Below are 27,911 nucleotides of genomic sequence, written 5' to 3'. Positions count from 1 at the left end.
AGTGCAAGCAATCCACCTGCCTCGGCCTCCCAAAGTGCTGGGATTATAGGCACGAGCCACCACGCCTGGCCCCCACTGCTCATCTGTAACCATCAAATATCTCCAGACATTGCTAAGTGTCTCCTGGGGTGGGAAGGTGGGGGGTGACAAATCATCCAAGGTGGAGAGACTCCGATGTAGCAAGCTCCCATTCAGAAACAAATGCCGGGAAGAAAATATAGATGCGGGATACAAATGGACTCTGGCTGCAGGAAAACGCAAGGCCTGGTAACAATGGCTGCATCTAGAAGGTGGACAGGTAGGTGGAGAGAGAAGGTGGAGTGAGGCTTATGTTTGCTATGTAACACTGTGCCTTGTTACACATTTTACCATGTGTATACGTAAATTATAAAAAATTAACGAAAGAAAAAAATATCATAGCGCATAAATTCTACCTAAATCCTTAACATGGCCTCAGCCTTCAGGTCTCCACTTTCTAGGCAGCCTCCCCCAGGCTATGTTAGGGCTCCCTACAGCCCCACCACTGTACAAAGATTATCATGAGCACCTGGGACTTTGTCATAAAGCCATAAAGCAACAATTGTTCAATACTGAACATCCCTTCAGGCAGGACAGGGAGTTCATCTGGGCCCCTCATTATCTCTCAATCCTGGGCCAGGCAAGAGATACACAGTTGGTGAACAACAGATGGATAAAGGAAAAAATGACCCTCGACTGAAATAGTATGTATCATTATTATTATTATTATTTTGAGATGGAGTCTCGCTCTGTCGTCCAGGCTGGAGTGCAATGGCGTAATCTTGGCTCACTGCAACCTCTGCCTCAAGCAATTCTCCTGCCTCAGCCTCCCGAGTAGCTGGGATTATAGGCATGCATCACTGCGCCCAGCTAATTTTTGTATTTTTAGTAGAGACGGGGTTTCACTATGTTGCCCAGGCTGGTCTTGAACTCCTGACCTCAGATGATCCACCTGCCTTGGTCTCCCAAAGTACTGGGATTACAGGTCATTATTATTATCTAAATAGATAATATCTAACAGGGTCTTGCTATATTGCCCAGGCTGGCCTCCAACTCCTAGGCTCAAGCAATCCTCCCTCCTCAGCCTCCGGAGTAGCTGGGACTATAGGTGTGCCACTGCACTTGGCTACAAAGTTGTTTACAGCTAGAGCAAATACAGCTGCAGAAAGAAGAGTCTATTCCCTTTTTTTTTTTTTTTTTGAGACAGAGTCTTGCTCTGCAACCCAGGCTGGAGTGCAGTGGTGCAATCTCAGCTCACTGCAATCTCCGCCTCCTGGGTTCAAGTAATTCTCGTGCCTCAGCCTCCTGAGTAGCTGGGATTACAGGCGTGTGCCACCACTCCCAGCTAATTTTTGTATTTTTTGGTAGAGATGGGGTTTCACCATGTTGGCCAAGTTGGTCTCGAACTCCTGACCTCAGGTGATCTGCTTGCCTCGGCCTCCCAAAGTGCTGGGATTACAGGTGTGAGCCACTGTGCCTGGCATAGGAGAGTCTATTCCTAACTGGAATAGTCCTGCCTCTTCCTAATTTTCCTGGGCCTTTTCTCATGAACTTATTAAGTTAATATTTTCTGAGCATTTACCTTGTGCTGGCTTCTGGCCTAGGCACTGAAAATATGGCGGTGAACAAGCAGGTATGGTCTGTGCCCTCCCGGGGCTTGCACTCTGGTTGGGAGGGCCAACCAATGATATGGGCAGCTTAAGTTTACTGAGTGCATATTTCTCTGTGCCAGGTGCCATGCTAAGCACTTGCACTCATCAAATCCTCAGCAAAGCCCTGTGAGGCAGCAACTAGCCCATTTTACAGGTGAGGAAACTGAGGTTGAGACAGGTTAGGTAACTGACCTAAGGTTCCTCCAGCAGAAGCCTCTGGCCACCCCTCCCAGGTCCAGGTCACTTGAGCTTCTTGGTGTACCTTGGGGACCCCCAACCTAGCTCCTATGGTGGGGCTTTCTGGCTGACCATCTCCCTTCCCAGAATGCAAGCACCCCAAAGTCGGGACTCGCATCTAGAATGGCACTTGGCACAGACCAGCTGTCCAAAAATCAATGGTGAGGCTGGTGCCTGGTAGCTGTTGGCATGAATGTGTAGAATGGCCAGTGGGGCTACGTCCCCCATGCACCCTGTTTAGCCTGTGGTGGGGTGTGAGGCCACCTGCCCCACTGACAGGGTGAGAACCACCACTGAGTTTTCAGAGTACGAGGTGTTGAAATCCTGACTTTCTGTCCTCTCCAATCTCAGGTTGTCTGGAGCTGATGATGTGAGGGAAGCAGAAGGAGCTAGGGTTAGAAGTCCTGGGCTCTAGTCCTTCCTGTGTCTCTACCATGCTGTGCAACCTTGTATAAGTGACAACCTCTCTGGGCCTGTTTGTAGCATGAAAAGGGCAGTCCCTGCTGATAAAGGTGCTGTGAGGAACATATCTGTTGATGCATGGTAAATGCTTGTGAAATAGGAGAGGGGTGAAAAGGCAGGTGCGGGTCGGGGAGCTGCCCTGGCTACCCCCTTCCCTCTGGGCCTGGCACCTTGGTAAGGTATAGAAGTTGGGGTGCCTAAATGACAAGCCTCTGAACCTTCTCCTTCCCTCCCTTCCAGGGACTATTTCTTTTTTTAAGTTGCTGTTCCAGCCTCCTCATCCCCAGAGCAACACAGCTTTCCTAAGATCCTTCTTGACGCTGCCCTAAGAGGAAGAAGCAAAGCTGGACACTTGGACAGGAAACCCAGGCAGGCTGTTGGCTCCCTTGCCCTGCCCAGACAGCTGCCCCTCTGTTTAGCTTTGGAAACCTAGCAGGCAGGTGGGCAGGCAGGTGAGAGAGGTTTGGAGCTTCCCAGAGCCAGAAGCGGGGAGAGGGTCATGGTGCCAGGAAGTCACAGGGCCATGAGGGAAGGGGATAGAGCCCGGATGGGGGTTACTCAGCAAAGCCCCACGCAGAACTCACCATGCAGGAGGCCCTTTACAAGAAGCAGGCCTGTGACACCTGTGACATCAGATACACCTTTGTATCACTTCTCTCCCACTTCCATGGTGCAAGGGCTAGGCCTGCCTCCCTTGCTTAGTTCATGGGTAGAACCGAAAAATCTCTTCCTCCTTCTCTTGGTCCCTCCTAGCCCCTAGTACTCAATACCTTTCATCCGGCCAGGCACGATGGTTCACGCCTGTAATCCCAGCACTTTGGGAGGCCAAGGCAGGTGGACCTGAGGTCTGGAGTTTGAGACCAGCCTGGCCAACATGGTGAAACCCTGTCTCTACTAAAAATACAAGAAGTAGCCAGGTGTGGTGGTGGTCGCCTGTAATCCCAGCTATTTGGGAGGCGGAGGCAGGAGAATTGCTTGAACCTGAGAGGTGGAGGTTGCAGTGAGCCGAGATCATGCCATTGTACCCCAGCCTAGGCACCCAGAGTAAAACTCTGTCTCAAAAAAAAAAACAACCCAAAAAACAAAAAAACCTTTCATCCCCTCAATGCCCCAGCAACTACATAACAGCCCAAGGAACGGGTGGTATCCCCTGCTTGGGCCCACTGGGGGCCTCTTTGCAGGGTGCCAGGGCCAACAGGAAGTATGCCAGAGGCATGTGCCAGGTCAGCTCTGCTTGAGGGCAGCAGGCAGTGGGACAGCTCCCTTGGCCCAGTTTTGTCCAGCACTCTGCATATTGACAGCAAACACCAGAGGCAGGAAAAGAGGCACAGTGCTGAGTTCTTTCAGGGCGGCGACCATCTGGTGAGTGCACACCACGTGCCAGGCCCTGGGCAGAGCCAGCCCAACCTTCTAGGTGCTGGCTGGGATGTGGACTCCTATCCCACCTACGATACAGTTCTCAAATCACTGTCCTCCCTCTGTCTCACATTCTCACCTGCCTGCCACCTCCCAGCTGTCTCATCTGGCTTCTGCCCCGCACCCCTCCACCGAATAATGCTCCCGACGGCGTCCACAATCTCCTGGGGGCCTAGTGTGGCTGGTGTGGGCTTCTCATCTTCCATGCTGCATCACCTCCTCCCTCCCCGCTGAGGCCCACACCCCTGCTGGCCTCCCCACACCCCCTCCTGCTTCCCTGGCTTCCTCAGGCCCAGCCTCTTCTATGGGATCACATGTGGGCAGCCACCCAGACAGGGGAACACCTGAGCACTGATTATAACTGTGCTGCCACCCAGCTTCTCAGCCACATGGAAACTTCTCGGAGGCACAGACAATAAGGCAGCTTCTGCTTCAAACACTCTATGCACTACTTGGTAAAATAAAAGCCCTGTAAGGGCCTTCAAGATCCAGACCCTGCTCACCCTTCCCACCTCTTCTCCCAACACCCCCACCCTGGCCCTTCCTGCCACTCCCCACCTGGGGGCTTCTGCATCAGCTGGTACCTCTGCCCGGGCCAGATCTGCTCTGGCTGGCTCCTTCTAAGCAATCAGGACTCAGCTCAAATGCCCCCCCAGCTCTGGAGTACTTCCCTGACCCCTGACCTAATGTGGGCCACCCCCATCACTTTCCCTCTTGGCGCCCTGCTTTACTCCCTTCATAGATGGAAATGCACTTGCTGATGGCCTCTCATCCCCCAGAACGTTGACTCCGGGAGAGGAGAGCTTCATCTGTCTGCTCCACCCTTGCATCTCCAGTGCCCAGAACTGTACCTGGCACAGAGTGGGTGCTTCATAAATACTTGCTGAATGAATGAATGAATGAATGAACGAATCAATGTCCTTCCCAAAGCATTGAGCCTACTGCAAGATGCTTAATCGTTCTAAGTTGACAGAAGATATGAAGAGGAAGAAAAAAAGGCAATTGCTCCATACATGAGTGGCTGTGAGCATGAGCGTGTGGGCCACAGGTGCATGCTGAGGGCGTGTGCTGGGACCACGGTGCGAACCATGGCCACCAACTGTGGGCAAAACTTCACACTTGGGACCGCACATAACTTTAGTCTCTTGAATTCTTGTTTCCATCCAGCCTCTCACAGCTGTGGGGTAACAAGGGGGAGGGCAGAAAACAGCCTAAGCCATCTGCAGACAAATGTGAGGGAGAGAACGCTGTGGAAAAAGGGGGCTGCGAGCTGAGGCCAGGCAAGCCCCAGCAAGTGAGGCTTCGGCTTCCCTCCCTTCTCTCCCCCAGGGGTCTTTCTGCTCAGGCCTCCCTCGTGACTTGGCAAGGTGCCTCCCAGAGAACGAGTTTTCTACTTGGATGGCCTCCAACCAGGCCCTTCCACTGAGGCCCAAAATGGACTGCGGCCTGTTCCGGCCTCCTCCGGGGAAGGTGGGGGTCCCAGCAAGTCGGCTGTGATAAGGGACGGCCCTGCCAGACATTGCATCAGGCAGCAAAACTCCACTCCCCTCGCCTGCCTGGGGCCAAGAGCACAGTGGGGTGGGGTGGGGTAGGGAGAGGTTGAGGGGATGCTCAGCTGTTGCTGGCCCGGCCTCTCGGCCTTTCCCACGAGCTGGAGGAGGAGCTGCATGGGAAAGAGGAGCCAAGGGAGGGCAAGAGCTGGTGACAGAGTAGCTCCGAGGCAGAGTGGGAGCGCTGAAACCCACTGCGGGAAAGCTCCATGTGTGCTGGGTGCTGGGAGGCTGCCCCCACCTTGTTGCCAAACACCTTGGAGTGGGCTCTTTTGTGAGTTTTCTCAGAATCTGCAGAGTGGAGAGAGGCGGCAGGGGAGCCCCCAGGCCACTGGCACAGTAGGGCAGGGAAATGGAGCTCCTATGCCAGCCTGCCTGGTTTTTATTTTTTAATTTTGTTCTTATCATTTAGCCCACAATGTCAACTGCCTTGGTTTTAGATGAGAAGAGCTTGTCCATCCGGTGGCCTGTCCAGCCCAGATTCCGTTTCACTTGGGGACAGCCAGAGACAGCTTGGGAAGGCCAAGGCCACCCAATCAGGAGTGTGTTGCCTGACAGGAGAGTAAACGCCCAGCCCAGAGGCTGCTGAATGAGTCAGTGAGCAAAAGAAGAGCAGGAATGAAAGAACGGGAAGTGAATGAATGCCTGGCTGCAGCTCCCCCACCACCTCCACCCCCCTGCACCCAGTATAGCCCCGGGGCTATGGGGCTATGTTACTCCCAAGAGCATCTGAGCACCCCAGGGCTCCAGCTTGCTCTTCCTCTCCCAAGAAAGAACCGATCTTTGATTTCCTTTTGTCCAACTGCTGCCAAGACTGAGTAGAAGCAGGCAAAGGTGTGTCACCTGAGTGTCAGTGGATGTCCACGTAGCTGTAAAGGGGCGAGTGCCATAGGTGGATCTTGGGGCTAAGGGCCAGCCTGGCAGGGGTGGGGCTGCCACAGACTCTGAGCCAGCCCTAGCCAGGACAGGCCTGGCTGCCCCTCGGCCCTTTATGCCTGAGTGGGGCTGTGGGGGAGCACACTTTCTTGCTCCCATTGGATACGATCCCTTCCAACAGCTGCAGGAAGTGCAGGACCTCAGGTTGGAGAGGTAGGAACTGACCTACACCTCCCGGCTTCACTGCACCTGCCTGGTCAGGAGCTGTGGCTGAAGCTGGTGTCCAGGATGCCCTCAACCATGTAGCCGGGCAGCCCCGGGAGGAGTCTGCTGGCTCATTCAGAACCGACCTGGACATAGACCAAGATTCATGCCCAAGGACGTGGCCCAAGTCCAGCATGGGAGAAGCATGGCGAGCATCTTATCAGAGCCGGCAGGCTGGGTAACTGTGGTGCATTGGCACAGTGAAAGCAAGCCATGCAGGGGGCACCATCACAGAGGCAGAGCTACAAAAACATAATGTTACGATTCTTTTCACCTTATGCCCTTTGATTTATTTATTTTTGGGGGGGACAGGGTCGCACTCTGTCACCCAGGCTGGGGTACAGTGGCATGATCTTGGCTCACTGCAGCCTCGACATCCCACACTCAGGCAATCCTCCCACCTCAGCTTCCCAAGGAGCTGGGAGCACAGGCACGTGCCACTACGCCTGGCTACATTTTTTCTTAAATCATTTATGGAGACTGGGCGTGGTGGCTTATGCTTGTAATCCCAGCACTTTGGGAGGCTAAGGTGGGTGGATCACGAGGTCAGGAGTTCAAGACCAGCCTGGCCAACATGGTGAAACCCCGTCTCTACTAAAAATACAAAAATTAGCTGGGCATGGTGGCGCATGCCTGTAATCTCAGCTACTCAGGAGGCTAAGGCAGGAGAAATGCTTGAATGAGGACCCGGGAGGTGGAGGTTGCAGTGCGCCGAGATCCCACCACTGCAAGACTCCGTCTCAAAAAAAAAAAAAAAAAAATTTATGGAGACAGGGTCTCTCTACATTGCCCAGGCTGGTATTCTCTTTTACACTGTTTGAATTTTTGGTAACCATACACCTGTATTGCTTTAGTAACCAAATCTAAAATTTCAAAAGAGGAATGTATTATCACTTTGGAAGTGGTATGAAAAATACATTAGAAGAGGGCAGGACTGGAGGCCAGGAGCCCAGTCAGTCCCTTCTGCAAGGGTCCAGGAGAGAGCAGGTGGCTGAGCGAGGCAGTGGCAGAGAGGTAGAGGGGGAGGTGACACCCACGAGATGTTTGAGAAGTCAAAATGATGCTAGCACCTCTTCCACACGGATGCTCCCAGAGGACATCACGCTTGGTGAGATAAGCTGGTCACCAAAGGAGAAATACTATACAATCTCACTTATCTATGAGGTACCCAGAGCGCCAAAATCATAGAGGCAGACAGAAGGGTGTCTGCCAGGGGCTGGGATGAAGGGCCGGGGGGTTGATGTTTAATGGGGACAGTTTCGGTTCTGCAAGATGAAAGGGGTTCTGCAGTGGAAGAGTGGGGAGGGTTACCCAACAGTGTGAATGTACTTAGTGCCACTGAACTGTACACTTGAAAATAGTTAAAACGGTCAATTTTATGCTATGTACATTTGACCACAATAAATAAATAAACAACGGCCAGGCACGGTGAGGCCGAGGCAGGAGATTGCTCGAGCCCAGGAGTTTGAGACCATCCTGAGCAACATAGTGAGACCCTGTCTCAAAAAAACAAAACAAAACAAAACAAAAAACAAAACAAACCAACCAACCCAGGAAAATACCCCCAGCAATGCCTGTGGGTGAGAGGAGGTTAGGGGGACAGAGGAAGCTAGGAGGAGCCCAGCTCTTGCCTCGGACAGTAGTCTTGTTCTCCACGATACCCACAGTGCCTGGCACGTGGCAGGGCTCAATGAATGTTTGTGAAGCAAATGAATGGACTTATGCACTGCCTTAAAGAGTTAGCTGTTGTTTCCTGTAGGCTGGCCTTCTTCCCCCAGAACCAGCAGAATATTGGGCACATACAAGATGCTTAATTAATACTCCACTGAAAAAAGAAGGCCAGCATAAAGTTAATTTATTGCCTAGAAAGATGCTTATGTTATGACGCTGCACCAAAAAATAGGACACACCAGTATCTCCAGTTGCAGTCTATTTTATAAAAAAAAAAGTGGGTGTATACATGCATATGCACACACACACACACACACACACGCAGAGACACATACGTTGGGGGGGGGTTGGTAGAGAGACAGAGAGAGGGAGAGAAAGAGAGAGAGTCTTGGCACAACGTCTGACAAAGTTAGCAATGAATCTCTGTGTAGCTATGAGTGCGTTCAGTTTCCTTGCTTTTGCTTATTGTCTTTGAGGTCCTATGACCTTAGGCAAGGAATTTAAACCTCTTTGAGTACAGTTTTCTCATAGGTGAAATAGGGACATTTACAGCAACTATTGTATACCTTTGTCCCTTGCTTGGCTTGTCTTTCATGAATGAGGGAGGAGGTGGAGGCACAGAGAGCCTGGGAAATGGCACAGAACTGCTGCCAATCCATTCCACACCACAGCTGGCAACGATCTTGACCCAGCTAATTTTATATTATTACTCACATGCCTTTATATGTTTTTGTGAATACAAACAGGACAGACTTTATTGTGCTTTGCTTTATTATGCTTCACAGATACTGTGTTTTCTACAAATCAAAGGTTGTGGCAACCCTGTCTTGAGCAAGTCTTATCAGTGCCATTTCTCCAAAAGCATGAGCTCTCTGTGTGTCTCTGTGTCACATTTTGGTAATTTTCGCAATAGTGCAGATTTTTTCATTATTATTATATCTGTTATGGTGATCTGTGATCAGTGATTGTTGATGTTACTATTGTAAGTGTTTTGGGGTGCCACAAACCACACCCATAGAAGACAATGGATTTAATCGATAAATGTCTGTGTTCTGACTGCCCCACCAACCAGCCATTCCCTGGTCTCTTTCCCTCTCTCCAGGCCTCTCCTTGTTCCTTGAAATGCAACAATATTGAAATTAGGCCAATTAATAACCCTGCCATGGCCTCTAAGTGTTCAAGTGAAAGAAAGAGTCACGCTTTTGTTGCTTAAAATCAAAAGCTAGAAATGATGGAGCTTAGTGAGGCAGGAATGCTGAAAGCCAGAAAGGCTAAAAGTGAGGCCTCTTGCACCAAACAGTTAGCCAAGCTGTGAGTGCGAAAGACAAATTCTTTTTTTTTTTTTTTTTTTGAGACAGACTCTCGCTCTGCCCAGGCTGGAGCGCAGTGGCGTGATCTCGGCTCACTGCAACCTCCACCTCCTGGGTTCAGGTGATTCTTGTGCCTCAACCTCCCAAGTAACTGGGATTACGGGTGCCTGCCACCACACCAGGCTAATTTTTGTATTTTTAGTAGAGAGGGGGTTTCATCAGGTTGGCCAGGCTGGTCTCGAACTCCTGACCTTAAGTGATCTGCCCACCTCAGCCTCCCAAAGTGCTGGGATTACAGGCGTGAGTCACCGCACCCGGCTGGAAAAGTTCTTGAAGGAAATGAAAAGGGCTACTCTAGTGAACACACAAATTATAATAATGTGAAAAAGACTTGTTGCTGATATGGAGAAAGTTTGAGTGGTCTGGATAGAAAATCAAACCAACCACAACATTCCCTTAAGCCAAAACCTAAACCAGAGCATGTCCCTAACTCTCTTCAATTCTAGGAAAGCTGAGAGAGACAAGGAAGCTGCAGAAAATTTGGAAGCTGCTAGCGTTGGTTGGTTCATGAGGTTTAAGGAAAGAAGACATCTCCATAACATAAAAGTGCAAGGTAAAGCAGGAAGTGCTGATGGAGAATTGGCAGCAAGTTATCCCAAGGATCTAGCTAAGATCACTGACGAAGGTGGCTACAATAATCAACAGGTTTTCGATGTAGACCAAACAGCCTTCTATTGAAAGAAGATACCATCTAGGACTTCCATAGCTAGAGAGGAGAAGTCAATGCTTGGCTTCAAAGCTTCAAAGGACAGACTGATTCTCTTGTTAGGGGCTAAGGTAGCTGGTGACTTTAAGCTGAAGCCAATGCTCGTTGACCCTTCTAAAACTCCTAGGGACCTTAACAATTAAGCAAGATGTACTCTGCCTGTGCTTGTAAATGGAACAGGCCTGGATGACAGCATATCTGTTTACAGTATGATTTATTCAATATTTTAAGCCCACTGTTGACACCTACTGCTTAAAATACTACTGCTCATTGACAATGCACCTGGTCTCCCAAGAGCTCTGATGGACAGGTAAGAGGAGAGTAATGTTTTCATGCCTGTTAACACAACATTAATTCTGCAGCCCATGGATCAAGGAGTAATTTTGACTTTCAAGTCTGTTTTTTAATTAATTAATTTTTTTTTTTTTTGAGACAGGGTTTTCTTACTCTGTCACCCAGGCTGGAATGCAGTAGCATGATTATGGCTTACTGTAGCCTCAAACTCCTGGGCTCAAGTGATCCTCCTGTCTCAGCCTCCCAAGTAGCTGGGACTACAGGTGCATGGTATTTCACCTGGCTAATTTTCGTTGTTGTTTTTGAATGGAGTCTCGCTTTGTCACCCAGGCTGGAGTATAGTGGCGTGATCTCGGCTCACTGCAACCTCCGCCTCCCGAGTTCAAGCGATTCTCCTGCCTCAGCCTCCCAAGTAGCTGGGATTACAGGTGCCCGCCACCACGCTTGGCTAATTTTTGTATTTTTAGCAGAGACAGGGTTTCATCATGTTGGCCAGGCTGGTCTTGAACTCCTGACCTCAGGTGATCCACCCACCTCAGCCTCCCAAAGTGTTGGGATTACAGATGTGAGCCACTGCACCCGGCCTCCTGGCTAATTTTTAAATTTTAATTTGTAGAGATGTCTCACTATGTTGCCCAGGCTGGTCTTGAACTCCTGGCCTCAAACAATCCTCCTCCCTTGGCCTCCCAAAGTGCTGAGATTACAGACGTGAACCACCATATCTGACCCTCAAGTTACATTATTTAAGAAATACATTTTGTAAGGCTATAGCTGCAATAGACAGTGATTCCTCTGTTGGATCTGGGCAAAGTAAACTGAAAACCTTCCATTGTAGATGCCAGTAAGAACATTTGTGACTCAGGAGAGGAGGTGAAAATATCAACATGAATAGGAATGTGGAAGAAGTGGATGCTAATTTAGAAGAAGTGGATGCTAAGAAGTGGATGGAGGAAGTGGATCCATGTGGATGATTTTGAGGGGTTTAAGACTTCAGTGGAGAAATGAACTGCAGATGTGGTGGAAGTAATAAGAGAAAACTAGAATTAGACATGAAGCCTGCAGATATGAGCGAATTGCTGCAATCTCATGATAAAACTTGAATGAATGAGTTGCTTCTTATGTATGAGTCAAGAAAGTGGTTTTTGAGATGGAAGCTACTCCTGGTGAAGATGCTGTGAATGACAACAAAGGATTTGGAGCAGGGTGTCCAGTCTTTTAGCTTTCCTGGGCCACACTGGAAGAAGAATTGCCTTGTTCTACACATAAAATACACTAACAACTAACGATATGTGATGAGAAAACAAACAAACAAAAAACGCAAAGAAAATCTCATAATATTTTAAGAAAATTTACAAATTTGTGTTGGGCCACATTCAAAGCCGTCCTGAGCTGCACGTGGCCTGCGGGTTGGACAAGCTTGATTTAGAATATTCTATAAATTGTCTGGGAGTGGTGGCTCACACCTGTAATCCCCACACTTTGGGGGGCCGGGGCAGGTGGATCACCTGAGATCAGGAGTTCAAGACCAGCCTGGCCAACATGGTGAAACCCTGCCTCTACTAAAAATACAAAAAATTAGCCAAGCGTGGTGGCGGACGCCTGTAATCCCACCTACTCTGGAGGCTGAGGCAGTAGAATTGCTTGAATCTGGGAGGTGGAGGTTGCAGTGAGCCGAGATCGTGCCACTGCACTCCAGCCTGGGCAACAAAAGTGAAACTCCATCTCAAAAAAAAAAAAAAAAAAAGAATATTCCATAAACTTAGTTGATAAAGCAGCAGCAGAGTTAGAAAGAATTGACTCTAATTTTGAAAGAAGTGCTACTGTGAATCAAACAGCATTGCATGCTACAGAGAAATCCGTCATGAAAAGAAGAGTCAATTGATGCAGCAAACTTTATTGTTGTGTTATTTTAAGAAATTGTGGCTGGGTGCAGTGGCTCACACCTGTAATCCCATCACTTTGGGAGGCCCAAGCGGGCCCAGGAACTCCTTGAGCCCAGGAGTTCGAGACCAGCCTGGGAAACATAGTGAGACTGTGTCTCTGCAAATAATAAAAACATAGGCTGGGTGTGGTGACATGCACTTGTGGTTCCAACTACTCGGAAGGCTGAGGTCGGGGCATTGCCAAGGTGATCAGGGCTGCTGCAAGCCATGATTGTGGCATTGCACTCCAGCCTGGGCAACAGAGCAAGACCCTGTCTCAAAACACAAAAAACAAAAACAAAAAAAATAAAAAGAAAGAAAGAAATTGCCATAGCCACCCTACTCTTCAGCAGTTAGTCAGCAGCCATCAACATTGAGGCAAGACCCTCTCCAGCAAAAAGACTACAAGTCGCTTGCTAAAGTCTCAGATGATTGTTAGCATTTTTTTCAGCAAATAAAGTATTTTTAAGTTATGTACTTTTTTTAGACATACTACTGTACACTTAATAGACTACAGTATAGTATAAAAGTAACTTTTTTTTTTTCAGACAGAGTTTTGCTCTTGTTGCCCAGGCTGGAGTGCAATGGCATGTATCTCGGCTCACTGCAACCTCTGCCGCCCGGGTTCCAGCGATTCTCCTGCCTCAGCCTCCCGAGTAGCTGGGATTACAGGTGCCTGCCACCATGCCTGGCTAATTTTTTGTATATTTAGTAGTGACGGGGTTTCACCATGTTGGCCAGGGTGGTCTCGAACTCCTGACCTCAGGTGATCCGCCTGACTTGGCCTCCCAAAGTGCTGGTATTACAGGTGCGAGCCACTGCACCCGGCCGTGTAAATGTAAATTTTATATGCACTGGGAAACAAAAAAATTTGTGTGATTTGCTTTATTGTGATATTAATTTTGTTGCAGTGGTCTGGAACTGAACCTGCAATACCTCTGAGGTATGCCTGTAACAGCCAAAATATAGAATGTCTTAGGGCTTCCCCACAAAAGGTTTTGGGGTTTTGGGAAAATTTGGGGAAGGCCACTGGAGTGTGTCTGGAGTGAACATAATCCCCTATGAATATTTCAGCAGAAAAAGGCGGAGGGCAACTGCCCAAAGAAAGCACAGACGTGCAGGGCAGAACGACAGTCTACATGACGCCATTTTTCATATATTTAATTAGCGAAGAACAAAACGCCCTGGAATATACTGTGTGGGTGAATTTCTGGGGAACCGACTGGCAGAGACGTGAGGCTCATCGAGTGGCCAGGGGCTCCTCCACATTGCCCAGACTCTTTTGCAGTCAGGCTGAGGCCATATGACTGGTTCTGACAGGTAGGATGTGGGTGAAAGTGATGTAAGCCACTTTGCTTAAAATTTTCCCACACATTCATCCAGGCCTCTCTCCCCTGGCTGTGGCAACAGTGGAGGCCACATGTTCCAACTGGCTTAGTTCACAATGGAAGCAGCCTGGATCCCTGGGATGCTGCTTAGAGAGCCACCCCATCTGCATCAGATGTGACGCAAGAGAAAAAACAAGCCTTTGCTGTGTTAAATACTAAGATTTGGGGGACTAATTGTTCCTACAGCATAGCCCGTCCCGTCCTAATACATAATGTTCATGGGAGTGTCCTTTCTGAAGGATGATTTGGCCAAACCATCACAAGTTTTAAATATGCATACTCTTAGCTATGGGCTGAATGTTTGTGCCCCTCTAAAATTTTTGTGTTGTAATCGAATCCCAGTGTGCTGGCATTAACAGGTAGGGCCTTTGGGAGGTGACTAGGTCACCAGTGTGGAGCCCTCATGAATGGGATTAGTGTTCTTTTTAGAGGCTGGGCATGGTGGCTCATGCCTGTAATTCCAGCACTTTGGGAGGCCGAGGCAGGTGGATCACCTGAGGGCGGGAGTTTGAGACCAGCCTGACCAATATGGACAAACCCCATCTCTAATAAAAATACAAAATTAGCTGGGCATGGAGGCGTATGCCTGTAATCTCAGCTACTCAGGAGGCTGAGGCAGGAGAATTGCTTGAACGTGGGAGGTGGAGGTTGCGGTGAGCCAAGATCACACCATTGCACTCCAGCCTGGGCAACAAGAGCAAAACTCCGTGTCAAAAAAAAAAAGAAAAATTATTAGAGCCCTAAGGGAGCTTGTCTGCTCCTTCCACCAGGTAAGGACGCCACAGGTAGGTGCCATCTTGGAAGCAGAGAGCAGCCCTCCCCAAATCAAATCTGCTGGCTCCTTGATTTTGGACTTCCCAGCCTCCAGAACCATGAGCAATAAATTTCTGCTACTTGTAAGTTTCTCAGTGTATGGTATTTGTTATAGCAGCCCCAAAGGACTGCTATAACACTCTTCGACCCAGGAATTCCACTTCTAGGAACTAATCTTGCTGATATATTTGCATGGATACAACAAGGACATATACAACAATAAATCGATTATAATTACAAAAGGCTAACCATGACATTAATGCATGTTAATAGGCAAAACCAAAACCAAAACAAAAAACAGCAACTTGTTAGCTCAATGTTAGGTACATTTATCAGTGCAATACTCTGTAATGATTAAAAAGAAAGAGGAAGTTCTGGAGGGCTGACATAAAATGCTGTTCAAGACATGAGTGATAAAAGCAAGGGCAAGAGTATGCGTGGCATGCTACCAACTGCCTACAAACTGGACTGGATCCATGCAAATGCTGGATATCTTTGGAGATGGAAAGAAGAGATTGACAAGAGTGGTTGAGGGAACTGGGGAATGGGTGGGAACTGTCACTGACTTTTAACTTCTACTTTCTTCTATTGTTTAAATTTGTTACCATGTTACTAAAATATCAATATAAGAGAAAGTTATAAAAATAATGGAAATAAAAAGCATATGGAGTTGTGTCCCAATCCATCATCCTACACACAGTTAGCGCTTAATATTTACTTGAATAACCAAGTCCATCTAAGCAGCTTTGTGATGAACCTAACCCAGAACAAGCAAGAGGGATCCTGACAAAAATGGTGACTGTATCAGGTTTCCAACTTTTTTTTTTCTTTTTGAGGACGGGTCTTGCTCCACTGCCTAGGCTGGAATACGGTGGTGTGATCATGGCTCACTGCAGCCTCAACCTCCTGGACTCAAGTGATCCTCCTGCTTCAGCCTCCCAAATAGCTGGGATCACAGGCATGTGCCACCACACCTCGCTATTTTTAAAAAAAGCTTTTTGGAGAGTCAGGGTCTTTCCCTGTTGTCCAGGCTTGTCTCGAACTCCTGGGCTCAAGCTGAGGCTGGCAAATTATTTTCTCCTTCCTTCCTTCCTTTCTTTTTCTTTCTTTCTTTCTGTCAGACAGAGCCTTGCTCTGTCGCCCAGGCTGGAATGCAGTGGCGCAATCTCAGCTCACTGCAACCTCCACCTCCTAAGTTCAAGAGATTCTCCTGCCTCAGCCTCCTGAGTAGATGGGATTACAGGTGAGTGCCAGCATGCCCGGCTAATTTTTACATTTTTGTAGAGATGGGGTTTCACCATTTTGGTCAGGCTGGTCTCGAATTCCTGACCTCAAGTGATCCACCTGCCTCGGACTCCCAAAGTGCTGGGATTACAGGTGTGAGCCACCACACCCGGCCTGGCAAATCATTTTCATCTCATGAGTAAAAGCTAATAGGTTGGTAATTGGCAGCCTGGAGCACTTTGATGAGAAGAATCCTGAGATCAGGCTTGTTTTCTGTGGGAAAGAACATGGCAGTTGAGTAGTGATGTCTGCTGTGTGTATAGATAGGGTGTATTAGGCTGTTTTTGCACTGCTATAAAGAAATACCTGAGACTGGGTAATTTATAAAGAAAAGCAGTTTAATTGGCTCTTGGTTCTGCAGGATGTACAAGAAGCATGGTGCTGGCATCTGCTTGGCTTCTGGTGAAGCCTCAGGGAGCTTTCAATCATGGCGGAAAGCAAAGCAGGAGCAGGCACTTCAAATGGCAAAAGCAGGAATGAGAGATAGAGAATGGGGAGGTGCCACACACTTTTAAATGACCTGATCTGGCAAGAACTCACTATGAGGAAGACAGCACCAAGCCATGAGGGATCCACCCCCATGACTCAAACACCTCCCACCAGGCCCCACTTCCAGCATTGGGGATTACAATTCAACATGAGATTTGGGTGCGGACAAATATCCCAACTATATCACAGGGGAAGGGCTGGCACATGTGCCATGTACTTATTACCCCTACTTTAGGAGGAGGTGGCTAAGGAAGCCTAGGAATCTTCTGGGCCCTGGAGTCCTTTTTCTTCCCTCATCCCTCATGTGCCCTATTTTTTCCCATTTTGGTCATGCTCATTATTACAAAACGCTGTGCTCATTTGTGGGGTTTGGAGCTTTTGTCAGTTTTATCAATCATCAACCTTTTGACCAGAAATGTGTGCATGTACGTATACATGCAATGGGTGCATCATACGTGCACATGCTCGGGAGAAGCCCATGGAAGCTGTGAGGGGACCATGGGCTAGCCTTCAATGGCTACACAATGGCCACAGCTTCCCATTTTGTTCTGCACCTCTGGAAAGACGGCTCCATTACAGGATTTCTGAGATAACCGGGTAGAGAAAAACTCTCCATGCATAAGTCTAGGATCCCTAATTCTTGCTCTATCCTCCTTCCTGACCTTCTAAGGAGGCTTTCTGATCCTGGAGAATGATCAAGTAAGGGACAGGACAGAGAGGAGAATTTCTTCTGCTCCCTGTTTTCTTCCAACCCTACTTCTATTTCCTCTGTCTTTTTTTTTTTTTTTTTTTGAGACAGTCTCACTCTTGTTACCCAGGGTGGAGTGCAGTGGCACAATCTTGGCTCAACGCAACCTCCGCCTCCCGGGTTCAAGCCATTCTCCTGCCTCAGCCTCCCGAGTAGTTGGGATTACAGTTAGGCACCACCACGCCCAGCTAATTTTTTTGTATTTTTAGTACAGACAGGGTTTCACCATGCGGACCAGGCTGGTCTTGAACTCCTGACCTCAAGTGATCTGCCCGCCTCAGCCTCCCAAAGTGCTGGGATTACAGATGTGAGTCACTGCGTCGGTCTCCTCTGTTTCTATACAGTGGCAACAGAATTTGAATCCTCTGGAGCTTCCTCAAACTCCCACTTAATGGTCCCATTGACAGCAGGAAGGGGTTTTATTCCTGTGATGAAAGGAGGAACTCCAGCCTCTTTTCTTCTTATTCTTTTTTTTTTTCCTGCTCCCGCCCTGACTTCAACCTCTTGTGTTCTGTCCAACATCTCTGCACTAGATCTGTAGGAGAAGCAGCGGTTAGGGAGAGAGGGGCCACAGGGGTCTTGGGCAGCAGGAGGCTTGGTCCGCATGTGTCTGCTGCTATCCTCTGACTGATCTATGGCCACAGAGGAGCCCATCTACACTCGGTCTGCCAGTGGAAACAGAGGTCAATTGTCTAACTGCTCTGAGCGTTGGACAGATGGCCCTGAACTCGGACAGACTTGGAGTGGGTCCCAGCTCTCCCACTTACTCTCTGCTGACGTTGGGTGAGGAATTTAACTTCTCTGAGCTTAGGCTGGCCCCACAGGGTTGTTGTGAGCATCAAGGAAGCTGTGTGAGCTCCGAAAATTGGGAAGATTGCACACAGGCTGGGCATTATTGCTGGTCTGAACAAATGTCAGCCAGAGCCCGTCTATGCCAATGGCACTGTTGGTTGGTATTTCTTGGGTACATCTCTCCCCATGCTGGGCTGCAGGGGAGGGACACTGGCTGATCCACTTCGGGTTTATCTTATAGAACCAGCCCCAGGCGATCTCTGCCTGCTGCAACTATTCCTATCGGTCAAGGGCCCACCTTTCCAGCATTACTTACAGGGACACTCACCTAACATGTCAGGCCTCGGGCCTGGGCACACCTGGACATGGCCATGGCCAAACGGTTTCTCAGCTAAGAGGGCAAGTCAATTTCCACCCCGGGCCAAAGCTGACAGATGGGAAGGGGCTGCCTGGAGCGCCGTATTTGAAAATACGAGTGCTGCGATTGCTCTGTGACATCTATCATGGGTGGAGGATGGCACAGCTATTGTGAATCTGCTGCGGCTGTTTTAGAGGACTGGTTTTCAACTCTGACAGCATAAGAATCATCCAGAGAAGTTTACAAATCACTGAGGCCTGGGTGCCACCTCCAGATTCAGATTGCATTGGTGTGGCCTGGGCATCAAGATTACTTAAAGCTCCTTAGGTGATTCTAACCTAGAATCAGCAAAGATGGAGAGCCACTACTTTTAGAGCACCCAACTTCACTACCCTGGCGCTCTTACAGACAGCGGGAGCTGCTGCCTGCACACACACTAGCTATCAGCAAGGCCAGAGTGGCAGCGGCCTGCTGAATCTCTTGCTAACCAGGGAGGGATGCCAGGAGAACAGGTCTGTGTCCCTTGTTTTACCTACTTAGTAAAAAAAAACAACACTGATACACATACAATAACTTGGATGAATTTCCAGGGAACTGTGCTGAGTGAAAACAGCCAATCACAAAAGGTTACACACTGCATAATTCCATTTATAGAACATTCCTGAAATGACAAAACTGTAAGAATGGAGAACAGACTAGTATTGCCAAGGGTCAAGGAAGGGGTGGGGGCAGGAGGGAAGTGAGTGTAGTTATAAAAGGGCACCACAGGGGATTCTGTATGAAGTCAACATTCTGATTGTGACATTAGGCTAGGCTTTCACAGAATGTTACCATAGGGGGAAGTGGGTAACAGATTCATGAGACCTCTCTGTACAATTTATTAAAATTGCGTGTGAATCTACTGTTATGTCAAAATGAAACTGTGTAATGAAAAGGAAAAAAAAGAAAAGAAAACTAGCTCCCACAACAGGAGGCAGGGTTTCAAGAGATCTTTGCAAGTTGGAAGTAGAGGTGGGGCAGTAAGATTGAGCAGAAATGGCCTTTCTAGGGCAGAGGAGTGAACTAGTTGGGTTCAAACTGGACCTCAACTGGAGTTTGGCTTTTTGCAGAACCATGAGAAAGTGACCTTCCTGGGATCTATTCATGTGTAGTGATAAGCGTGGGGACTTTCTGAGGGAAAGGCTAAATGAGGATGCTACTCCTCATGGCAGGGGGAGAAAAACAGGGGACAGGATCCTGGAGGGAATAGCATGATATGTGATCCCCCATCAGCTGGACAACATGGTGTGGGTTCTGGTAAGGAGGGGAGCTGGGACTAGCGGCTGCAGGCAGTGAGTCCCATGAGACCATGCAAGGCTTGGTGCCCAAGCAGTGCTGCTACAGGGCCCAAAAAGCTCTGCGCAACCTCAGCGGGTCAGGGGGTCGGCCAAGCATGGCCTTGGGGCGAAGGAGACTGGGGCAACCACGCCAGCTGCGCAGCACAGGCACTCTGGCTGGGAGGCTTGGGACATCTGGGTTATCTTTGAACGGCTCACTGGACTTTGCAAGGGGCAGAGCAAGCTTCAGGCTGCTCTATGGCAATTCTGCGGCAGGAAGGAGGAGAAGAAAGATTTGAAGAACTAAGATGGAAATTTGTAAGAGTGCAAGCTTTTGGGAAAGTACCTAAAGAATCTCTGAGTGACAAAAGCTCACATGAAACAAGTATATTCATTTGCTGAGGACTTGCTCTGGGCCAAGCATGGAACCAGGCACTAGGAACAGGAAGGAAAAGACACAGCCCCTGCCCTAGAGGAGCTGAATAGTAACAGAAGTTAACACAGTGAACAAGGAATTGTTCCAAGTACTTCATGTACATAAATGTACTTAATCTTTGGAAGAACCCTGGATAATGCTTATGGATAATAGTCACCATCCCCATCAAAGGCAAGGGGATGAGAAAACTTACCCTGAGTTAAAGGCAGAGCTGGGATCGGAACACAGGAAGCCTGGCTCCACAGTCCACAAATTCAACCACTATGCTCTGTGTCTGAGCAAGCTGATTTAGCCAGAAGGGAGCAGCTGTACAGCAGTGGACAGATCAGAGTCCTAGTCAGGAACTGATCTTTCAGGACCTGTCACCAACTTGTGGTGTGGCTTTGTGTTAAAGGTGGAGGGTGTCCAGGTTCTTGGTGTCTTGAACACAGAGTTAGACAAAACGCACAAAGCAAGGAAGGGATGAAGGGATTTACTGAGAAAGTGCGCTCCACAGCGTGGGGCGGCCCGAGCACAGGAGCTCAAAAGGCCGTCAGCCGAGCATGGTGGCTCACGCCTGTAATCTCAGCACTTTGGGAGGCTGAGGCGGGCAGATCACTTGAGGTCAGGAGTTCGAACCCAGCCTGGACAACATGATGAAACCCCGTCTCTACTAAAAATACAATAATTAGCTGGGTGCGGTGGCGCATGCCTGTAATCCCAGCTACTCGAGAGGCTGAGGCAGGAGAATTGCTTGAACCTGGGAGGCGGAGGCTGTAGTGAGCTGAGATTGCGCCACTGCGCTCCAGCCTGGGTGACAGAGTGAGACTGTGTCTCAAAACAAACAAACAAACAAAAGGCCCGTTACAGAATTTTGGGGAGTTTAAATACCCTCTAGAGGATTCCATTTGTTATTTTGGGTACGCCCTATGTAAATGGAGAGGATGAAGTAAAGTTACAAAGTCATTTACAGAGCACGAGCTATGGAGAGGGTATTTCCTGTTATAGCTGAAGTGTGATTGGCCTTACATTCCCTGCCTCTAGACCCTATTTTCCTGCCTCATCTGGAAAACTCTCTGTATTTGTTTGTATTTCATACTTTTACTCTAAAAAATATGCATGGTCTTGGGCAGGCGCAGTGGCTCACGCCTGTAATCCCAGCACTTTGGGAGGCCGAGGCAGGTGAATCACTTGAGTTCAGGAGTTCCAGACCAGCCTGAACAACATGGTGAAACCCCGTCTCTACTGAAAATACAAAAAATAGCCAGGCATCGTGGCATGTGCTTATAATCCCAGCCACCCAGGAGGCTGAGGCAAGAGAACTGTTTGAACCCGGGAGGCAGAGGTTGCAGTGAGCCAAGATTGAGCCACTGCACTCTAGCCTGGGCAACAGAACAAGACTCCTTTTCAAAAAAAAAGGCATGGTCCCAAATGCATGGTTCTAGGAGAATCTTGGAAGAAACATTTTGGAGGCACCAGGGCCACTGCTGGCTTCCTGGGAAACAGGAGCTCACTGGCCGTCCCAGATAAATGGCTGTCACTGGCTGTGGGTGACAAGGAGTAGAATGATGATTCTGGTCCCAATCCTGAGGTTCTCAATGGGAGCTGGGTTGCTGCATTATGTCAGATCTCAAAGACTGAGCAGGCCTGCGGGTCTGAGGCATCATCAAGAAATATGGCAGAGGAGACCAGACAGTGCCCTGTGGGCTCCATTCCTCCAAAATCAAGTCCAAACTCTTCCACCTGGGGACAACCTGGCCCACCCTATCTTTCCAACTGGTCTCCACCCCTCCCCTTCCTGGGGCCTCCCCCTGGCCAAACAAGCCTCACCAGCAGCACAGGACACACAGACAGAAGATGACAGAGCTGAGATTGAACCCATGTCTGTCTGACTGCCAAGAGGGGGCAGTGTGGTGAGGTGTGGTGGGCAGTGAAGAAGGGGTCGGACAACCTGGTTCTTCCAGCTCGGTAGCCCACTAGCTGGGTGAGCCCAGGTGACTGCCTGGCCCCCGTACTTCATCTGTAAAGCAGGGTTAATGACAGCCCCGTATCTGTTTCCTACTGCTGTTGTAACACATTGCCACAAACTTAGTACCTTCAAATAACACTTACTTTCTTTCCTTTTTTTTTGAGACAGGGTCATGCTCTGTTGCCCAGGCTGAGTGCAGTGGCATGATCATGGCCCACTGCAGCCTCAATCTCTCGGGTTCAAGAGATTCTCCCACCTCAGCTTCTGAATAGCCGGGGCAGATGCGTGCAACCACACTCAGCTAATTTTTTTATTTTTGTAGAGACAGGGGTTTCATCAGGTTGCCCAGGCTGGTCTCAAACTCCTGGCCTCAAGAGATCCTCCCGTTGCAGCCTCCCAAAGTGCTGTAATTATAGGCATAAGCCACCGTGCCCAGCTGGAACAACACACTGATTATCGTACAGTTCTGAATGTCAGAAGTGTGAGGTCAGTTTCACTGACTTAACATGAAGGTGCCAAAAGGCCTGGGTTCCTTCTGGAGAGTCTGCAGCCTTGCCTTTCCCAGCTTCTGGAGGCTATCTGCTTTCCATGGCTCATGCCCCCTTCCTCCATCTGCAAACCAGCAATGGCTGATAGTTTTTTTCACCATGCATTATTCTGACACTCCTCTTCTGTAGTCAAATCTTCTGCCTCCCTCTTATAAGGACACTTGTGATTATATTTAGGGCTCTCCTGGATAATCCAGGATAATCTCTCAACTCAAAATCCTTAACTTAATCCCATCTGGACAGTCCTTACCATGCAAGCTCACATATCCACAGGTGCTGGTGGCTCATACGTGGACATCTGTGGGGGCCACATTTCAGCATCCCATAAGCACCTGCTTCCTTAAATGGGGTACTCCAAGTTAAATGCTTAGCACAGCATCTGACAGACTGGAGGCCAGTGATGCTGCATCCCTGCTGGGCATGAGAATCACTCTGAGAGCTTTTAAAAAATATCAGTGCCAAGGGTTCACCCCTGAAGATTCTGAGGTGGGAGGAATCTGTGCCTGGGAATTTTTATAAGTTCCCTAGAGACTACTGGGCAGCCAGGGGCGGGGTTGACAGTAAGAAGCATTGAATTCATGTCAGCAGTTATTCTTATTCCCCACAGCTACTTAGCACCAAACCTCAGTGGCCAGGACTATTCAATAACTGACTGTTGAATTGGACAGAACGGAATCACTCCTGGGGCCTTACACTGCCCTGGGATGGGCGTTTCTCCCTGCTGCACCAGGGCCTGAAGAATGAGGTTCTGTGGGCAGACAGAGGCTCAGGCCTCTGAATCAACCTCACACCCAGAAATGGCTGCCTGGGGGGGCTGGAGTCCTTTCTCCTCCTCAAAGTCCAGTTGAGGGAGCTGACCTGGGCAGAATCTAGTCATCAACGGGCCATTGTTACTGGAACAGAAGTGCTCTGTGCCCACTGAACATTCCCCTCCCTCGCAAAGCTGCTCCCAGCTGAGGGCTGGCTTCTGGAGGGCTGCGAGGCTGGGGAGGGGCCCATGGAGGCCCCAAGGCTACAGAGGAGGAGGCTTAGGGGTGGGGGCTGACAGTCCCTGGTTGGAGAGCAGAAGCAGTTTGGGATACAGGCCAGTCTCCAAAGCTGGCAGGCTGCAAGGCCGAGGTGCTGCCGCGTGATACAATGCCAGGAAAATTTCCGGTTAAAGCTGGGAAACTGGGGACCGCCAGTGAAACCCACCAGACCCCTACCAGAGCCAGCGGGGACAGCCTTCCCCATGGGGCAGTCACGCTTGACCTACCTTCTTCCCTTTGAAAAAACAGAAAGTTGAAACCCACATGCTAAATAGCGCCTTTCATTGCCTTTAGAAGAACAGTGTTTTCAGAAAGGCTGGGAGGGTTTTATGTTCTGCAGGTCTGGGATTTGAGAGGCAGGGAATTCAACTAGGGCTAGGCATAAATGTCCCTTTGCTTAGCAGGCCTTTTCTACATGCAACACTTTATATTAATAGTGTGAGCTGGATTTTAGGAGGGTGGTGTTAAAGATCCCAACGACAATGCCTGACCAGCATCCTCAAGTATCTCAGAGATCCACCGTTCGGATGTTAGCAATCAGCAATTCTCATCCATTCAATAAAGCAAATCCCCTGATGGTCTTTGCCAAGGGAGCATGTTGCCTTAAAAACACCCCAGGAGGGTGGGTCTCAAAGTGGGGTCCCCAGACTGGCAGTATCAGCCCCTCCTGGGAACTTGGTGGAAATGCGAATCCTCAGGTCCCACTCCAGAACTAATGACTCAGAACCTCAGGAGAGGGGAGCAGATTGTTTTAGCACACTCTGCAGTTGAGTCTGATGCACACGAACGTTTGAAAATCGCTGGTCAACAGTGACATTTCTCAAACTGCAGGCTGTGCCAACAATTTGGTAGGTTAAGATAAGCTTTTTTTTTCTTTTTTAAACACAACAGCATTGTGTAGATTAGAAAATATCAGAATGCCTCTGTATCATAATGATAAGCATGAGTTGATAAGCATGAGTTTCTTTTTTCACTTTGTTGCCCGGGTTGGAGTACAACGCTGCAAACACTGCAGCCTTGATCCCCTGGGCTCAAGTGATCTTCCTACCTCGGCCTCCCAAAGTGTTTGGAATTACAGACATGAGCCACTGTGCCCAGCTAAAATATGGGTTTCATAAGGCTTTTGTTTCAGTTATGTGTGGGTGTCTGTGTCTGAGGTTTTAGTCTAAAAGTTGGAAAGCCACTGTTCTAGAGCTGGAATATGCTCACTGAGACTGGCTCCTTTTCTGTAATTTGTCTGAATGGGGAGGTTTTGAAGGCCATGGCCTGAAAGTTCCCCATTCCCTCTTTCCCCATCCGATACAGTCATGTAGGCAGCGGACAGAAGGGAAGGACTGTTTCAGGTGAGACAATCTTTCCAACTCTGGCCTGAAGGTAAATTTAAACTGTGCATTTTCCCTGTGCTTATAAAACTTTCTGGCCCTCCAGCCCCCATGCTCCCACTCCCACCCACCGGGTAGGCCTACTGAGGTGTCTATACGCATACGGACCAAATAACTAAACAGTTCCATCTGGGTGGTGGGAGTGGTGGTGATTTGCTGCATTCTTCTCTGTATTTACCCATTGTACTTGAATTTTACATACTAAGCATCTAGCATTATCACAAAAATAATATTCTGACTACCTTAGATAGAGAAAAAAAATAAAAACAATAAAGTCACTTCCTAAAAAGAATTCAAAGCTGAGAGTCCATCTCTGGGTGGAAATGCAGAAAAGGGAAGGCGGTACCGGAAGGGAGGGTGGCAACCATGAGCCTAGGGCTGGTGATGCCCAAAGCACCACCCCTCCCCCATCTGTGCCTGGCCAAATTCCACCCATCCCTTAAGGCCGAGCCCAAACCCTACACATCCCCAGAGCCTCCCTCCGACTTCCCCCACAGCCATAACCAATCCCCCAGGGGACTAGTCTAACCCCTCTCCTGCCATCTAACCCCTCTCCCGCCATCTAACCCCCCTCCCGAGACTCCGTCTAAAAAAACAAAAAAGAAAGCCCTTTTACACCTCCAATTCTCACAAGAGCCTGGCAGGCAACCTGGGTCCTCACCTCCACCCTCTCCTTCATTATCCAGATGAGAAACAGAGGTCCAGACACGCTGAGCGACCCGCCCAAGGCCACCGGCTGGAGGTTTGAGGCCAGGATGTGAAGGGAGGGCCTCCTACCACACGTTCCTCTCCCAGCACCATTCCTCTCTCTACCTTGCACCATTCATATCACTTTTCACCTTGTATTAGAGGTAACACGTGTGCGCTATCGCTGTATGGCACTGAATAAATATGTAAGGAAAGAAGGAAGAAAGGAAGGAAGGATGCAGGGAGGAGGGAAGGAAAGGGAAGGAACCTGTCCCAGGGCCAAGGAGAAACCTGGTATGTTATTGAACTTCCCCCTTGGCACTGGACTCCCCAAGGTCAGACATGGGGAGGCATCCTGGGGAGGGGTCCAGACATCGTCTATCTGTGCCTCAAACACTCCTGCTCTTGGCCCACAGAGCTGTGCTGAGCAGGGGCCCCTCGGAGGCCATTTCCAAAGGCTCAACAGAGAAGAGGCAGGGCGCCTCCCCTCTGGGTACAAGAGGAGCCCTGCATTCCCTAGAGGCCGGTTCTTCACTGCCCTTTAGACATGGGCTGCTTACCAGGCAGGCTCCTGTGCCTTGGGCTTATCTGCAAAAAGAGTATAAGGACAGCACCTACCACATGGGAGCGCTGTGAGGACTAAATGATCGATGTGTGCGCTTCTAGAACAATGCCTTGCACATAGTAAAGGGTAAAGAAGGTTAACTATGATTACTACTCTTGTTATTAAATGAGCTCTGGGGAATGAGAGGTTGCCCTGCAGAGGAAGGGAGCGGATTGTTGAGTTCATGATATTGTCCGGGGAAGCCTGGCAGCACGGGGTTAGGAATCTGGTGACTGGGGCCCAGCATGTTGGAGATCCAAGCCCAGCTGAGCCACTTTGTTTTTTTTTTTTTTTAAGACGGAGGCTCGGTCTATCGCCTAGGCTGGAGTGCAATGGTGTGATCTCGGCTCACCGCAACCTCCGTCTCCCTGGTTCAAGAGATTCTCCTGCCTCAGCCTCCCGAGTAGCTGGATTACAGCCGCCTGCCACCACGTCCAGCTAATTAGAGATGGGGTATCACCTTGTTGGTCAGGCTGGTCTCAAACTCCTGACCTCAAGTGATCCACCCACCTTGGCCTCCCAAAGTGTTGGGATTACAGGCATAAGCCAGTGAGTCCAGCCCTGAGCCACTTTGTACAGTGTGACCGGGCAAGTGACTGGCTTCTCCAGAAGTCAGCATAGAGGCATAGGAAGGCGTAGGAAGAAGCACAGAGGCAGGTTCAATATGAGGAGGTGGTGGTGCTGTTACTATTGCTGAATGCTTCATGGACTTCACTTCTCAGCCAGTGGCTCAGATCCAGCTGGTGGGAGACCTTCTTTAAAAAAATAAAAAAATCAGCCTGGCCAACATGATGAAACCCTGTCTCTACTAAAAACACAAAAATTAACTGGGTGTGGTGGTGCACACCTGTAATCCCAGCTACTCAGGAGGCTGAGGCAGGAGAATCACTTGAATCTGGGAGGCAGAGGTTGTGGTGAGCTGAGATCACGCCACTGCACTCAAACCTGGGCAACTGAGCAAGACCCTGTCTTCAAACAAACAAACAAACAAACAATCAAGCTCCAGCCTGGGCAACATAGAAAGACCCCTTCTCTAAAAAAAAATTTAAAAATTAGGTGGAGCACACCTGTAGTCCCACCTACTTGGGAGGCTGAGGTGGGAGGATCACTTGAGGTTGGGAGGTCAAGGCTGCAGTGAGCTATGGCTGTACCAATGCACTCCAGCCTGGGTGACAGAGTGAGACCCTGTCTCAAAAAAAAAAAAAAAAAAATCGAGCTTAGGGGACTCCGAATATACAGTCTGGCTAAGAGGCAGCATAGTTTGGTCAGATCACCCTTGCCATGCCCTGACCCCACAGCCCCAGCTGTGGCTACTGCCCTGCAAGACAAGAGGGGACAATGTTGAAGGGGCAGCTGGGAGGCCAGGGTTAGCCCAGAGCCTGAGACTGCTAGGCTTGGAAGCTGAGCGGGCAGGCTGGGGCTGGCCCCATTCATGCTGTGTGGGTGACTGCTCAGGTCTGGGGGCTGGGACTGTGGGCAGCAACACTTTTTGGGAAGGGACAGCCTTAGCAATGATCGTTATCATAATAACAGTCCTCGGGAAGAGCTGGACGCTGCAGGGGGCCCGATGCTATTTCCAGGTTATTTTTCAGGTTGTGCCTCGGTCAACCTAATTGTGAAACAGGGAAGGGTTTTGTTTTAAAGCTGGACAA

General features: G+C 49.2%; 1 protein-coding gene across 4 annotated transcripts in view, besides 5 other annotated features; it reads right to left on the bottom strand.

Moving 5' to 3' along the window:
- The window catches only part of CHST3 (carbohydrate sulfotransferase 3), a 49,164-nt gene that overhangs the window by 8,640 nt on the left and 12,613 nt on the right, over window positions 1-27,911 (bottom strand). The window lies entirely within an intron of this gene.
- Window positions 6,241-7,193: an enhancer, noted in NCBI's record as "H3K27ac-H3K4me1 hESC enhancer chr10:73757484-73758436 (GRCh37/hg19 assembly coordinates)". NCBI's record gives its function as "activates a minimal SCP1, AML or CMV promoter by ChIP-STARR-seq in naive H9 embryonic stem cells {active_cell/tissue: H9 hESC(naive)}" and the evidence as "EXISTENCE:reporter gene assay evidence [ECO:0000049][PMID:30033119]".
- Window positions 13,127-13,300: a silencer, noted in NCBI's record as "fragment chr10:73751377-73751550 (GRCh37/hg19 assembly coordinates)". NCBI's record gives its function as "represses an EF-1alpha promoter that drives an FKBP-Casp9 reporter gene in an ReSE screen in K562 erythroleukemia cells {active_cell/tissue: K562}" and the evidence as "EXISTENCE:reporter gene assay evidence [ECO:0000049][PMID:32094911]".
- Window positions 19,772-19,841: an enhancer, noted in NCBI's record as "active region_3527". NCBI's record gives its function as "activates an Ori minimal core promoter by ATAC-STARR-seq in GM12878 lymphoblastoid cells {active_cell/tissue: GM12878}" and the evidence as "EXISTENCE:reporter gene assay evidence [ECO:0000049][PMID:35858748]".
- Window positions 19,902-19,951: an enhancer, noted in NCBI's record as "active region_3526". NCBI's record gives its function as "activates an Ori minimal core promoter by ATAC-STARR-seq in GM12878 lymphoblastoid cells {active_cell/tissue: GM12878}" and the evidence as "EXISTENCE:reporter gene assay evidence [ECO:0000049][PMID:35858748]".
- Window positions 25,489-25,990: an enhancer, noted in NCBI's record as "H3K4me1 hESC enhancer chr10:73738687-73739188 (GRCh37/hg19 assembly coordinates)". NCBI's record gives its function as "activates a minimal SCP1, AML or CMV promoter by ChIP-STARR-seq in primed H9 embryonic stem cells {active_cell/tissue: H9 hESC(primed)}" and the evidence as "EXISTENCE:reporter gene assay evidence [ECO:0000049][PMID:30033119]".

This window comes from Homo sapiens, chromosome 10, assembly GCF_000001405.40.
Source record: "Homo sapiens chromosome 10, GRCh38.p14 Primary Assembly".
NCBI lineage: Eukaryota > Metazoa > Chordata > Mammalia > Primates > Hominidae > Homo > Homo sapiens.
This window is presented reverse-complemented; position numbering and strand designations above follow the sequence as displayed.